The sequence below is a fragment of the Homo sapiens genome, chromosome 8, assembly GCF_000001405.40.
Source record: "Homo sapiens chromosome 8, GRCh38.p14 Primary Assembly".
NCBI classification, from domain to species: Eukaryota; Metazoa; Chordata; class Mammalia; order Primates; family Hominidae; genus Homo; species Homo sapiens.
The window spans coordinates 81112070-81128621 of NC_000008.11; the positions used below are offsets into that span (position 1 = coordinate 81112070).

Genomic DNA, 16552 nt, shown 5'->3' on the forward strand with positions numbered 1-16552 from the left:
ACAGGCGCCGAGGCGGAGCAGCCGCGCGGGGAGCGGGGCGCGAGTGCGCATGATCCTGGCCGCAGCGGCACGTCACGGGGGAGGAGGGGCGGGCCGCGGGGCGGGAGGGGGCGAGCCGGGCGGGGCCGGGCTGGGGGTGCACACGGGTGAGGACCGGCGCGGGGCCTGGCTTGCTCGCGGGAGGATGCAGGAAGTCTTCCCTGCCCTGATTTTATGAACCCAAAGCTCTGTGGTTGAACTTGTCCCAGGAGCCCATTGTCCTTTAAACAGCACCGTTTAAGCGGTCCTTAAGGTCCCTGGGGAGCCCACAAAAGCCAATTTAATTCAGGTTACAGCTTAACCGTAAAGGGTTGCCATTTGGGGGACAGTGATCTTCTATTGTGGCTGTGCATTAAAATAACTTGGGGAGCTTGTAAGAACCCTTTGCCCCGGACGCATCCCAGAACAAGTACAGGACAATGTCTGGGTGGGGCCCACCCAGGTATCAGTAGGTATCTAAAGATACCAAGGTACAGCAGTGCTTCTCAAACCCTCAGTGTGTGACAGAATCTCCTGCGGATTGTGATGAGATGCAAGATTCAGATTCAGTAGGCCTGGGATAATGAGGGAGACATCCTTTCTAACAAGCTCTCGGAGGATGCCAATACTGGAGGTCCAGACCCCCATCCTTGCTACTTAACGTGTGATCTAGAGCCTGGAGCAGAGCTTCTGAAACAGTTGGCCTGTCTGACAGTCACCCGAGGGGCTTATAAAAAACGCAGAACAAATGCCCAGGCCGTACCCCCAGTGATAGTGGTTCTGGCTCAGCCCCTGGCAAAGGTGGGCTTCTAGAATTCCATTTGGCATCAACACTCTAAATAAATCTGATAGGGGTTTTGTTTGGGCCAAACTTCAAGTTTACACTAGCAACCTGGAATTGGGAATAAACTTTTGCACTTACAAGGAGACAAACCAAGTCTAGAACTCAGGACATCTGACTTTGAGTCAGGGATTCTAAACCAACGGGTGCTTTATCTGACTAGTCCCAATTTTCTAAAATTATGATGCATTACTTAGCAAGAAAAAACATATAAATGGCATTAAATATACACACACACACTCTATTGAACACTCGTTACACATATCATTAATGGGAGCTTAAAGGTGGCTGGGGAAGAAGGCTCATCAGGAGAGGGTAAGGAAGACAGTGATGGAGTAAGGGATGTTGTTAGTGTGTCGCAGAGGGAAGGGTATGTGGGAGGAAACAGTTTAGACTCAGCCTACAGCTTGGAAAAGCCCATTGGGGAAGCGGACCCAGGAACCAGACTTGGCCTCTTGCTTCAGAGCATGGTATGAAACTCAGGTGTTTAAGAACTTATGGAGTATAACATTTCACATACGTTACCTCACTGAAATTTCACAGTGGTCTCTTAAGTTGAATAATAATATAAAAAAGTATCCCCATTTTATATATTAAAGAAGACATCCTGGACATGAGTTGACTAATGGTGGAACTTGAATAAAAGTAGGGATCTCCGTGTTGGACTTGGCTTCTACAACTCTGGAGAAGAGGACAATTTAGACCTTATAAAGCAAATGGTTTCTGTGTTTACTAGTCACATCTTTTACAGGCTGTGCCTAAATTTGGAGTTAGGAAGGCTTTCATTCTTGTGGGGAGGAAATACATTTTGTGTCTTCCAGTTTTGCTACACTTGTTAGGATACACTTAGAACAAAATGTTCTAAGAGCAACCCGGTCCTAGGACATTGCAGTTCCACAGTGCAGGCTTCATTGAGGAGTTTGAAGGGCAATATTCACGTTATCTGGTGACAAGTGTAATTACCATCCTCATTTTACCCAGGCTCAGAAGCTAAGTGATTTAGACAAATTCACGAATGCAGGCAGGAGCCAATCTCTAGCCTCTGTCCTTTTCCTCTGCTCTCTTTTCACCAAGTAACATGCTGAGGATTGTTTTTCATTTCCAAATTTTTCATATCAGGATTTGCCATCAGTAAATTGGAACTCAAATGTATTTCAAAGCCACTCCTAGATAGAGAACCAAAAGTGTCAGGATCAATTCTTGTGCTTGTGGTAGATGCTATGGGCTATACTCTCGGTCTGAGTAATGTTTTGGAAGCAAGTATGTGATAGTTATATACAGTCTTCTAATCCAGAGGTTTGACTGGGAATGCTACACTGCCAACTGTGGTCTACCTGCCTTTATCTTTACTTCTTATCTAACTCTTCCATTACAGCCATTCTTCGGTGTGATTATGAAATTAATTCCTAAGAAAAAAGAATTCTTTGAAGGAGCTGGTACATCACAGGTTGTAAAACTTACTTCAGTTTTTAATAAGAAATATATATATATTTTAAATATGAAGGTAGCAGAATAGTCATGTTGGGACCTTTAGAAGAACCCAAAGTTGTCATTGTTTTCTTAGGTGCCCGACATTTCAATCAAAATATTTACATAATTCATTTGTATATTGATTTCAAGAGATCCAAGATTTAATTAAATAAAAAGTTACTATTAATTGGTGTGTCCTACTGCTATTGAATTTTGAACCATTGTTATTGGCATTAAATACATGAAATATATAATATTGTCTTGATACTATATTGACTGTGCTTTAATATTGACTGTGTCTTGATATTGACTGTGTCTGTATTTAGAATTTATTTCACATCAGCTGCTATTGATTGTCTGGCAGAAATCGCAGCTACATCTTTTTCTCTGAGGTCTGTATTCCTTATGGGTCAGCAAGGCCTACTCTTTGGCTGAGAATTCCTTCCTTCAATGCCTCTAAAAGTCCTAGTAGTGAGATATTCAATTATATAGACACTAATGACTCCACTGAAACTATTCTTCCCTCATGCAGAAACTGTACCTAGGATAGATTTTTATTAAAGTCTTTCTGCTAAAAATCACAGGCTTACCAACTGAGCTGGAAAGCTTAGGCTCAAAAATTCTCCACCTTTATTAATTACATTTCTTCATCCATTTCACTCAAAGGGATTCTTTGACATGAAAATCTTCACTTACTTCATAGACACAGTCCAGATAAGAGAACTGTGGGGAGTCCAAGGTGACTAGCAAGAGTGAGACAGTTGGGAGGAAGGAATTAGATGCCACTTGGTGAAAAATAAGCTTGCCATAAAAATTAATACAAGTTGTGCTTGATTTGTGGACATGGCTTATTACAAAGTTTGCCTTGTTTGAACACATGCAGCAGCTGATAACTTCACTGGAAACCATCACTGAATCCCTGGTGTAGATGGGATTGGGGGAGATTAGGGTCCTGTCTTCTTTCCCGAGAAACTTTAGAAAAGTATTAGAAAGCCCAATTCTTGCCCTAATGCAGGAAACTTACGACGTGCCTGCATTGTAAATGTTCATGTCTAAGTTATCTCACTTACAATTTAGAGCAGTCAATATAATAAATAATCAGGATTTTCAGGCTAGCTCCATAATGTTTTTTAAGTCTCTATTAACAACAAAAAAAGCTAATAGAGTGTTAATTATAACCCTGAACCTGAGAAGAAATAGGTGATGGGTAGGGATGTTGGGCTAAGGCAGGAATGGGGTCGGGGGCTGGGACAGGATGGAATTTAGGGATGGAAGAAGGAAGGCAGGAAGTGGCCTTTGGTTGCTGAGGAGCAAAGGCTGGTGGAGACTGAGTATCAGCAGCTTCTGAGATAAGACTGGGCAATGGCCTGTGAGCAAGATTAGAGAGCAAGCAATCAAGACTCTGCTGGCAACTCACAGCTTACCTGAACTTAAAGTGCTGAGGATTCCACGTGTGACTTTGTCTATAGGAAAGAGGGATCAGAGGTTAAGAAATAGATTATAAATTCCTTAAAACCCATGATAGATGCTTTAAAGAACTACTACAAAATATACCCTCAATTTCAATCTCTAAGAGTTACTTTTTCCTCCCTCCCAACCAAATTGCCCACTAATAAAAGGAGAGAGCAGCTGGGGGAGAGGCCATGCTGCACAGTGCGAACCTCACAGGCTGTCTGGCCCCCACTCCCAGCATCTCCATCCATCAGCTGTAATCACGTGACTGCCATCTTTGATTACCTAATACACAGTAACAAGAGCTTCAAGCACATATTAGGTTCCGAATATGCTAGCTATTAGTGGTGGGCTTTACAAAATCTCTCCTAGAGTTAAAATCTGAAACTAGACATCTCTTAGTGTCTATTTTATCATTTTAATGTAAACCATGATGAACTGTAGTTTTTAAGAGAGTACTTTCCTTCTCCATCAGAAGACTTAAGAGTGACTTTAGGGCTCCTCTGAGGACAGGAGAATCGTGTAGAAAAGGCTTTCAAGGGAGATCAGGGCAAAACCTACTAATGTAGCTCTGCAGCCTCACACTATACTGTAGAGGAAAAGTCAAGGCTTAAGGACTTGACATTTTCATATCTTTCTACCGGGAGAAAGAAATTATGGTGGCAAGAGACAGTAGCTATAAAAGTGAAAATAGAGTGCTTTAAAGAAATGCCTTTATATTACAGATTTGAGAATGGACATTTCCATTGTCCTTTGTCATCCTGACCTTACACATTCCTTAAAGTTCTATCCTGACATCAACACTCAAGATGTGTGCCTGTAAAACTGATGTAGATACTCAGAATGTTGGTAGAGATTCCTTAAGCTCACTTTTAATTCTTCTGCCTTTATCACTTCAATATAATACAATTTTTATAAACATATTTTAAGCAGGCATCAGAGAAAACTGCGTGTTTCCTTAGTAGCCAACCAGTTGCCTGCCAGCAAGCAAAACTTCAGCATTGAGAAAGGAAGATTTTGAAATTCAATTCCAAAAGAAGTGAGTTGTGCCATCTCCAACATTAGAAATATGTGAAAGACTTATAGTGGCTAAAGCATTTCTGTCATTTCTTGCCTTTATACATCTTCCTCCAGTCCCGCCCTCTCAACACCTTTTCAGCAAATAGACTTTTCTGCTCTCAGTCTTGTACTCTCCCTAAAATGGAAGCTGTCTCTTGTTATATAGCTACAACAGATGACAGGAAGAGGAAATTCAGCAGAAAGTGGCTTTCTCTGTGAGCCACAAGCCCATTAAAAGTGGAAGATTATTCTTTGTTTACATGGCTTTCTTCTTCAGTTTGCATAAGGTTCCTTATCTGAAAAATGGGGATAATAGTATCAGAAAATAGTATCAGTATCCACAAAATAACATAATTATTTTCTGAAAGAATCAGCCATTTACCTATTCCTACTTCCCTCTGAAGAGCATTCAGTTTCTGCTGAATTCTCTTCTTTTGTTCTCTACTCCCAAAGAAGAGAACACCTTCTAGAGAGGGTTGATGGTCAATGCTAGTGAGTGCTAGTGAGAATGCAGGCTCCCCAGAGTTTTCATACACTTGGCAATGGTCAAACCTGTGGTTCTGAACAGGTAACAAAAACTGGTGCTTGAGATGTTACTTGTGTGGCTGGTGGTCAGACCCTCAGCAGAGTCTGAAACAAATTCTTTGGGGGATGAATAAAAGCACAATTGCAGTCTGATAAAAAGTCAAGGGACCCTGGAGATTTCACAGCAATTCAGAGAGAAAAAAGAATTTCCAGAGGTAAAAGCCATAAAATAAGCGATCACTCCAAAAGGTCTTGTAAAAACAGCAGTTGCTTTTAGAAATATTTAATCCCAAATTCCACTGAAGTGCACGTGGTATTTCCTGTTTCTGAAAACTTAGAGGAAAATTAAACTCTTCTTTGAAAAAAAGCAAGCAGAGCCAGATGTTGGCGTTGGTAATGATCTGCAGAGCCTAACACACATGTGGCGGCAGTCAGGGAAATGCATGACAGCTGTCTGAAGCCATGGGAACCTGATTTCTCTTGGCTAGAAAAGAAACAAAGAGTAAGGGTTGTTTTGTTTATATATACAAGGGGACAGCTGAGTCCAACAGACATTATTTTGAGCTGTAGAGCCAGAAACAGCAGTTTAAAATATTTTATCTTTCCCTTTGACACACTCAGTCCAAATAATTTATTCAAGGAATGTTCAGTATCCAATCAGATACAGTGACATTCTAAAGTATTTTTTTCAGAAAATGCTAGACTATACCGTTTTGAGCCCAATTATAGGCAATCTCATAGTAGCTTGCTTTGTTCATATTAATAATCAGAATTTTTTTCTGAAAATACATGACTGGACTTCTTGATTAAAAGAGCCTTTGGGTATACAGGAATGATTACCATCGGCTTTATCTTTCACTACACCCCATCCTGAATCTTCTTCTCTGGTCAAACTGTTTTACTATTCCAAGATTCATTTCCCTTTGTCCTTTCTTGCTTTTGTTTTACTGCTGTTTTTTTATTCAAATCCTCCTCTCCCATCTCTGTCCTTCAAAATACTGCCCATTCAGGTGCCTAATTCATACCTCACCACATCTGTGAAGTTGATCTTGATCATCCTAGCTGGAAGAGTGTCTCCTCCTGGGAACATCTGTAACACCTACTGTCTGGATCATCCACATGGCACTTCTCCTAAACTGCTTTGAATTAAGGACATCAGTGTATGTATTGCTGTTCAATGAAACAGCAAGCTCCCAAAGGCAGGCATTAAGTTTTAAACTTCTTTGTATCTTCTCTCCTTCTCCCGCTCCTTAACTCTCTAGTTATTTTGTACGTGATCACAAGGGTTCTATTCATGTCCATGCTTATGACGTTGATTGTGAGCATGTTGACTGGAGAGAGAGGTGTAGGTTTGTGGAGGAAGACAGATAACTAACATCCAAAGAGTGATTCAGCACCTAATCCCATTTGGATTGCAGCATTGGGCAGATTATCAAAGCTTATCTAGTTATATATTAAATACTTATTGCATCTGAGTTACAGGGTGAAGGCTTGATCCCAAGAACAAAAATTGAATTCTAATTACTACAATAGAAGCATGAGGTGTGAACCAGATTATTTATATTAATATTTAATTTATATTGAATTCTGGGCTATGGATTCTTCAGTATCCACCTCCCACTGACAAGGGACAGGATTGAACCTGGAGCCTGGAGAAAGACTGAGTCTATTGTTGGAGGAAAGGTGATCATCTATGAAAGCAGAGATGATAGGGGAGCAGAAAGCCAGGCAGGACATTTTTCTTCCTACAATGCCTTTCATAGCAGGTTGTTTGACATGAGAAGTGTCATGTCAGTCATTGTGTTTACCCATCTCTGTGCCACTAGCTTCCTCTGAAATATGGACTAGAGAATATGGAATGGACTGAACAGTCTAGGGAGGAAAATGGGACAGATACACAGGGAGAGGCAGAGATCCAATGGAAGACAGACAGAGCATTCCAGCCAACGTAATGCTTTTCCAGACCCTTCATATCCTTAAGTAAATTTTCCTTTTCATTGCCTGATCCTTGTAAGACAAAAAAATCTAACATACTGCTCAATGAATGTTTATAGAACAAATGACTAGAAATGAGGTGTTAATATTATTAAGAATTGATAAAGCAATATTCATATTCATTTGTGATAAAATAAAGAACATATCTGGCTTTTGTCTCTGGTTCCTAGCAGAGTTTCAAAACTCCTAGTATTTCCAGAGTGATAAGAATGTCTTTTGTTATTCATAATTAACCTCCTTGGACTGTACCTGAGTTTGTGATAATGAATGGGGGAAACCAACCATGTGATTAGAAGGTTGGAACTTTCAGACCCTGCCCCCAACCTTTGGAGAAGGAGTGAGACTGGAGATTAAGTTCAATCACAGGGCCAATTATTTAATCAGTTATACCTACACAATAAAATTCTGACAAAAAATTCAGGACATGGAGATTTAGGAAGCTTCCTGTTTGGTGAAGATGTTGCTGTACTGGGAGGGTGATGTGTCCTCCTGGCTCCACAGAGACAGAAGCTCCTGCACTCAGTGCCTTTCTAGACCTTGTTATCTGTATCACTTCATCTGGCTGCTCATTTGTATCCTTTCTAATAAAACAGTAATCATAAGGATAGTGCTTTCCCAAATTCCATGAGTTCTTCTAGTGAATTATTGAAACTGAAGAGGGGTCATAGGAAAATCCCCAAAATTGTAGCCATGTCAGACAGAATTGCAGGTAGTTTGGGGACCCTGCTTGTAACTGGTGTCTGAACTAAGAATAGTCTCATTAGGAACCTTGCTCTTTAACTTGTGGGAGCTGACTCTCACTCCGGGTAGTTAGTGTCAGAATTGAATTGAATCGTAGGACATCTAGTTGGTGTGAGCGACTTGATGTTGGAACACAAGATTACATTCTTTGTGCATTTAAAAATACACCATGTTTTTGTGACATCTATTTACAGTGTTGATTAACACAGAGCAGAAATGGCATCAACATCTCAAGATGAAGAAGAGAGCAATTATATCAGGTGACTATGTCCGTATCAGTCAATCTGCACATGTAGGTTGATGGTCAATGTACTAATCAACAAATTTCAATATATGTACCCCTTCTTTCCTGCTGGACTGCAGGCTTCTGGGAGTCAAGCTTACATATCCTACGTCTTTTTTTTTTTGTGATGGAGTCTCGCTCTGTCGCCCAGGCTGCAGTGCAGTGGCACGATCTCTGCTCACTGCAGGCTCCGCCCCTCGGGTTTACACCATTCTCCTGCCTCAGCCTCCCGAGTAGCTGGGACTACAGGGGCCTGCCACCTCGCCCAGCTAATTTTTTTTGTATTTTTAGTAGAGACAGGGTTTCACCGTGTTAGCCAAGATGGTCTCGATCTCCTGACCTCGTGATCTGCCCACCTTGGCCTCCCACAGTGCTGGGATTACAGGCGTGAGCCACCGCACCCGGCCTCCTACATCTTTTTATTTCAATCTATGCCTTATGAATTGTCTTCAAAATCCTAAGTACTACTGAATGCTTTATGGTTGATATGCTGATATGCAAATAAATACTTATTAATTGTAATACTCAACTTGCATTGCATGCCTATTGAATAGTCTTATCTCTCTGGACATTACTTTAGTAATCTCTCTCTCTCTCTCTCTCTATTTCACAAATGGGAAAAACTAAGCCATAGGTTAAGTGTCTTACCTAGGATTTCAAAGAAAGTCAGGACTGGACCTACATTTAAAAATGCATTTCCCCTGAGTTTCCAAGCCTATTACTTAGCTTATCACACCTTCCTTAAATATCAAGAGCTACTGGTCATTTCTGGGTTCTGACCATCATGTGGAAGATGATAGAGAGTGAAGTGGCCATTGAGGTTCAGAATCAGGTTCTATATGGAAGTACTTTCTCATTCATCTTAGAGTTGTTTTAGCTTATGTTTGTGCTAGCAGCTAAAACCAATATCTTCTTGCCAAATTAAGCCAGTGAATCACTTGTGCTGATATGAAAAGTTAGAAATATTACTTAATTTAGGATATGCTCTCTTAAAAAGACAAAGAAATAGACTTCAAGCATTGACAAAAAGAGAAAGAAGAAACATTTTTAAAGAAGAAATCTTGAGTGTAAAAATAATCGTGATGCTTATCTAGCAGATTAAAATGTAATTAGCTCTATTGAGTTGTAGCTGGATTCACTCTTTGAATCTTCTATAAATCAGAATTGAAACAGCAACTTTGCAACCAGAGGCATTTTTAATGACTATGGCGGATAACAGCCAACAATTTATTTCAGACGAGGAAACAGAGACAGAAATCTTGTTTTATTTTATCTGATTTAATGTTACCGTTCAGAAGAAATTACTTGCTTTTCTAACATACCAAACTTTTACTTTATTACTAACAAATCTTCAAAAATGACAGCAAGTAGAATTAGGGAACAGTCATTACTGTAACATTCTATTTGACAACATGTAATCATGTCCATTAAGAGCTTTAAATTCCCCTCAAACATGTGATAGGAAACTTCAAAGTTTGTTTAACCCAGTGCTGAGTACATAACAAGTTCAATAATAAACATCTGTTGATAGTCTGATTCTCAACATATTTCCCAAGAAGCTTTATCTAAATGGCAAACACTGACAGAAATAATTATTTCCTGGAGTCTTAAGTTTACACACAGTTGGGACGCAGTCTCTGAGACAAAGCAGGTGATTTTTGTGGCCATTTCGCAGTTAAGTGAAATAGTCATGGCCCTTCTGTTCTACCTCTGGATGGGGCCTTTTTCCCAAAAGACACCAGGTAGATGTTGATGTGCATCTGTTCCGTACAAGCTCTGGTACATGTATGCTCTTGATTGAGAGACAGACTTGACTTTTCAAGAAAAGCTCTCAGAGATTGGCCTGACTTTGATTATTACAAGGGCATTTAATTTCAGGGAAGTCCAGAACAGTTCTTTTTTGAGATCCACCTATAGTAATTATAAACTTCTTGATTTCCAGAACAGTTCGTTAGCCAATCTGGACTCTTCTAGATTAGGGATGATATGGTCCACTCTAGGACCACCCTTCTGGGGCCACAGGAGAATTGAAGGAGGCTTGGTTAGGAAACAGTGACTTTGGTTAGGGAGTTCTGTGTCTGCTTCAATAAGAACTCCAAAGCACATTTTTCTTTTTTCACAAGGAGGCAAGCTAATAGTGAGATTCAGCCCTTTGCACAGTGGTCAACATGTGGGCTCTGGGGGAAGGTGCCCTAGGTTTATATGCCTCCTCTGACAGGCACTAGTATCTTTGTTAAGTTGCTCACCCTTTCTATATCTCAAGTGTCCTTGTTTTAAAATGTAGCAATGGCTTATCTTATTTAGTATTTAATAATATGTGAAATACGTATGCTAATCATAAACCTAATGGTTTTTAAACACTGGCATAGTCTCTGGAACCTATGAAATGCTCAAATCAGTACCGCTATATAGTACTTTGCCTATGCCAGGTGCTGCCTGTGCACTTTGTATCTGTAACTCATTTAATTTTCACAAAGGCAGGAGGAGATGCACCCATTCTCATTTTACAGATAAAGAAACTGAGGCACATACAGGCCAAGTAACCTGTCCAAGATCACACAGCTAATAAGTAGATTACTTCTATACATTTTAACCAGGCCATGTGGCTCCAGGTCATGTACTAAGTCACTATTTTCTTCTGCTTGTCCAGTAAATAAATACAATATTTTATTATTGTTGTTCTCCTTCCTGTCAGTTTTTTCAACTCTGTGACACAGCAATGACCTCTGCTCCTTCAGGCCGTTTGTCCCAGGAAAAGCAGCAGCTGACTCTTCCTCTTAGTGAGCCACTGTGATCCATGCCAAGCCATTTGCCACTCTCATGATTCCCAAGATGAAGGGGAAATGGTAGCAGGAAGGGCCAAAAGTCTGCGTAGATGGAGTTATACTTCTGCTTAGATTCTGGTACTCTCCTAGCTACATAAACTCGAGATTTTCTTTGGGCTTTAATTTCCTAACTTACAAAATGCCAGACTCCAACTGGAACATTTCTATGCATTTTCCATATCTAGAATTGCACAATGGATAGTGTATTTACTTAAACTTAACAAACATTTACTGAATACCTGCTCAATGCAGAGCATTATGTTCTTTGCTGTGGACAGAAAAAGAAATGAATAAATAGAAGCCACGCTCACAACCACAAGGAATTTTTATCTAGGATGGCGGGCAACAGTATAAGTAACCATGATGGAACACCCTATGTGAATTGGGAAGACCTGGGTTCAAATATCATTTTCTGTTTCATAACTGTGTATCACCTTAGACAAATTATTATTTTAACCTTAATTTTCTCATTTGTAAAATAGGCTCGATAATACTTTTCTCATGAGATTTGGATCATTGATTGTACTTGTAAATGTTCTTAAAAGTATTCAAAGAATGCTTTCGAAAATACATTACTGAAAAGAAAGAATATAGGGATATCAGCAAGAAGAATATATACTATGAGAATTTAAAACTGTATATGGGATCATGGACTAAATTAATTTCCTTCCACCATTTTCAACATAACTAAGCAAGATTTCAGATTGCAATATGCATCGTAAACGGCATAAGGATTTAAAATCTAGACACCAAACAAAAATTTTTCATTAAGCCCTCTTTTAACTCACAACCCACAGAAATCACCATATGCTTTTGGTGGAAGATGTGTTTCTACTCATGCATGGTTTGTGTGAGGTCTTTTGTGAAGATGGCCAAGGATTGTACAAGTTGCCTGCTATCTCAAAATCCAAATTTCTGTAAGAGGCAGCAACATGTATAGGAGTAAAATAAATAAATAAAATGTATTTTTCAATGGTAAGCAAAAAGAGAAGAAGCCTTTCTTTTCCACACTTGATATTTTCTTCCACGTAAAAGGGTATTGACTAGCATAAAATGCATGGAGCCTCTTCTCCTGCTTACTCGTTCCTACCCAGAGAGGGTGACTCAAACCAATAGGCTGGGTTGAAAGAAGAAACAGGGCATGTACAGCCTGCATCCTCTTCTTCTCATTTCTACACTGCTCCTTCTCTCCTGTTTGCATTACAGAGCTGGGTCTGCTCCTGAAGAGGGAGACGTGGCTTGGTGCAGTGCTCCCTGCAGCAGAGAAGAGGAGCCAGCCTATCTCTATGGTGCTGTGCTGACATGCCGGCTTGCCCACAGATGTGTTGTCACATCCTACCGTAACATCTTTATTGGTGATAAATGCTATACTGTGGCCTACATCTACCTAACTCCATCTTGTGTCTTAATTTATTTGTAATGCAAGTGAGAGAAAAAAAGCGTTAATTATTGAGTTTCCTTGATTTCCAACATTCAAGAAGCTGTTGACTACCCCAGGGGGCCTCTGGTTTCCCTACCTAAATAGATGGGTTTATACCGATTCAGCTGCATTGTCTTCTTTCCTCACTCCTGATGGTTTCATGCATTTTTCAGGGTAACTGTGGGCTAATGCAACAAATTCCCACATTGACTCTGAATATTTTAAAGCTGAGTCAATGAGTGGGAAGAATTTAATTTAATAATCATTTCATCCCCTGCCTGTGAAATATTCCATAAAAAGATGTCAAGAAATACTCTGATAATTACAAACATAAAATTTTAATATATCATTTTAATGTTAAAAGGAACTTATTACATTGCATTACTATTAGACACATGACAAAAATAAAATACATATTAAAATGGGACATGTATATGCAACATGAGGCGCATGCCACTTAACCAGTTTATAAATGAAGAAAAAACTGAAGTGGAAGGAGATGAAAGTTACACTGCCCATTAGTAGCCAAGCTGGATGCAGATGGTGGATTTGGGAATGTCGTCGTTAAGCCCTGATGCTGGTACCTTTCCTAAACATTCATCACATGGCAGAGCTCACGCACTGACTACTGGTAAATTCGGAGCTCCCACAAAAATGCTGTCTGTCCAGATCAATTTAGCAAATACTAATTTGACTTGAACTTTCCATACGCCACAGTCTGTGTCATTTGGGTAAAAGGACAATATACTAGATAGATATGGACCATACCCTCATGGAGAATATTGGAAAGAATCCAATTGTATTTGTCAGTTAAATAAGCAATAGCTAGCAAAAAAATATATATTTTCTAAAACTGAAAGTGCCATTTAGAAAATATATGTATTATGGTTTTTATTGCTATGTTTCTTATAATAGGAAAAAATAAGGAGAAAAATTTGAATGTCAATCATTAGAAGATGGTATAATAAATACTTGTATGTTCACTCTATGGAAGGCTAGTGCAGTTACTTAATAAAATGAGATAGATGTACAAGAAGGGTTTTGGGAAAATGTAATGATTTATTTAAAAAAATGAGTTGTGTGGATGATTCTATTTTTGTAAAAAAACAATAGCAGCAATAGTATTTATGTATCTACCTTATATGGTTGTTTAGGAAGGGAACAAGTAAGGAAGATTCATACCAAATTTGTATAGTGGCTACGTCAGCTAGGCCAACTTTTGAATTGTAACACAGAGAATTAGTACTTTTAACTAAAAGCACTGAAACAAATGATTTACTGGTGAAAAAAATGCAAAGTGCTAAGTAGAAAAAATAGACTACATCTCAACTAAGAAAAATAAATAGGTAAATGGTAGAGATAAAAGTGTCAAGATGTTAATATTTGCCTCAAGGTAGCACAATGATCATTATGGTTACATTTTGTATCTCTCTCTGGACACTTTTATGTACTTTCTAAATAAGCATGCATTAATTTAACAATCAGGAAAAAATTAAATTTGTAAGGAAGTTAATTGTGCTCTTTGACTTATTAATTTCACTCTTCAGTTTCTTTTTAAACATAAAACATACCAAAAGGACACAAATGAGACTACTTTCTTTTAATGTAATTATAAGGTGAGACTATACCCTTATTTCAGTAAAGATTATTTAACAGTTTTTGGAAATTCCTCTGGATTTTCAACTGTATTCAGCAAAATCATTGGAATATTATACCCATTCCAATTAAGCGGACATTTATCTTTGAGCTGATCTGGGCGTGATAACCAATTTCCAGTCCTTCTGGGTAAGGCTCGCTTCACACTAATCTGTAGCATCATGACGTAAATTCACAGAAAAAAGCACATCTCTCAGAAATTCCGCAGGACTTTCCCCTCTAGCTATTAACTATTTAAAAAGAGGCCTACTCTCAAGCCAATAAAAAAAAATTAATTAATAGAATACTTCTCGCACAGAGATTTATATTCTCAAACTTGAGGAGCTTAACACTTGAATAATTGCTGATTTGTATGTGTGTGAAGAGTTAGGATAAAGTCTACTATCTACTCGAGAAACATTTATTGGTTGTCCAATTGTTTCATCTTCTCATCTTTCGGAAGCATAGTGGCAGATTAGATAGAAATTACCCTAAGGGTGCTGTGGACATTTGCCCAAACCACTTCTGAGGTGCTGGGATTGGTCATCCCTACATCCCAGGGAGTAGGGATGAAGAGACGGGACGTACATAGGGAATTGTGAGGCTTGGTTCTATAGAGAAAATCCAGGATTCTGTTAGAACACTCTGCACATGGAGTGAGTGAAAACCTGAGATGAAGTTCTGTCACTTTCAAGTGTTTTGAATTTGAGCAAGTCAGTTAACCTCTGAGCAGCAAATCTCTGAATTAATCTGTGCTGAACTGAGAACAGTTATAATAATACACAAGTACTTTACAAAGTTATTGTGAGGGTTAGAGTATATATGCAAAAGTATATTTTATAAAGCATGAAGTTCAATATATAAATCAAATATATTAATACTTAAGGACATATACCTATCCCTTGGGATAGGTAACACAGTGTCTTCCACTTGGTCATTACTCATTAAATATTTGTTACATTTATTTCATGAGACAAGACATATATTGGTGATAAAGTGGTGTCTTGGCAGCTATTTTAACTAGAAAAGCCAGGGTTCTCTGGGTAATATGAAATTAAAGAACAGTTATCAAACGTTGCCTGGGCACACAGTACCTAGCATCGTGCAATCTGAGAACTGGTGTGATAACCTGTGATCACTTGACTCAGCCTTCTACTGGTGGCTGGTATTTTCTCATCTACTCTTTTCTAGAGTGCCAATTCATTGTTTCAGTGATTCAATGTGACTCATTCATTCAGTTATTCAGCCAGCAAAGATTTTTTGAGAACTAAGTATGTTGTAGACTCTCTACCAGGAACAGTTGATATAATGGTGAGGAAAGACATACACACCATCTTGTCTTTATGGCACTTAAGACAGATAATTGTCAAGTAATCACACAAACCACTGTAACCTCAACAATTGACGGGAAGGAGAGAGACATGATTCCACAGAGGCCTGTAATTTCCATGCTTGATTTAGTCAGAGAGGTCAGGAAAGACTTCTCCAAGAGGAAGGTGCATGGACTTAAATACAAAGATGAAAGGTAATGTCCAGAAGCTGAAGAAGGAAAAGAAGGACATCCTAGGCAGAGGAAACAACTTGTGCAAAGGCCCTGAGGCAAGAGGAAGCACAGCAGTATGAGCAAATGTAAGAAGGCCAGAGTGGCTGAACTGCAGAGTTAGGGACTTGGAGGGGAGCGTGAGGCTGGGAGGTTCATGGCAGCTGAAGACCATGCAAAACTTGAAGTCTATGTTAAGGAGTTTGCAGTGTTTCCAAAGAGCATTAGGAAGCTATAAGTAAACAGAGGTATCATGACCAGATCTGTATTTTGGAAAAAAAAAAAATTGCTTGCATTATGGTTGCAACGTTAGACGAGAGATGGGCCAGGGTTGCAGTATTAGTTTTCTATTGCTGCTGAAACAAATTACTACAAACTCAGTGGCTTAAAACATCACAGTTTCTGTAAGTCAGGGATCTGGGCACAGAATGGCCAACAGAGTTCTCTGTCTAGAGCTAAATAAGATGGAAATCAAGGTGTCGGACAGGGCTGCAATTCTCATCTTAATCTCACTGGTTGTTGGCCTACTTCATTTCCCTCTCCTGCTTTCCACGAAGCCTCTCCCATCTTCAAGGCAGCAAACCCAAGTCAAGACCTTCTCACACTTTTTCTCTCTCCTACTTCCCTCTCTGTCCCTCTCTCTTACTTCCTCCTCTGCCTTCAGCTGGGAGACAGTTCGCTTCTAAGGGTTCATGTGATTACAATGGGCTCACCTGGATAATCCAGGCTATTTTCCCTATTCTAATGT

General features: G+C 39.4%; 1 annotated feature.

Annotated features, from left to right (window-relative positions):
• Window positions 5–134: a silencer, noted in NCBI's record as "silent region_19326". NCBI's record gives its function as "represses an Ori minimal core promoter by ATAC-STARR-seq in GM12878 lymphoblastoid cells {active_cell/tissue: GM12878}" and the evidence as "EXISTENCE:reporter gene assay evidence [ECO:0000049][PMID:35858748]".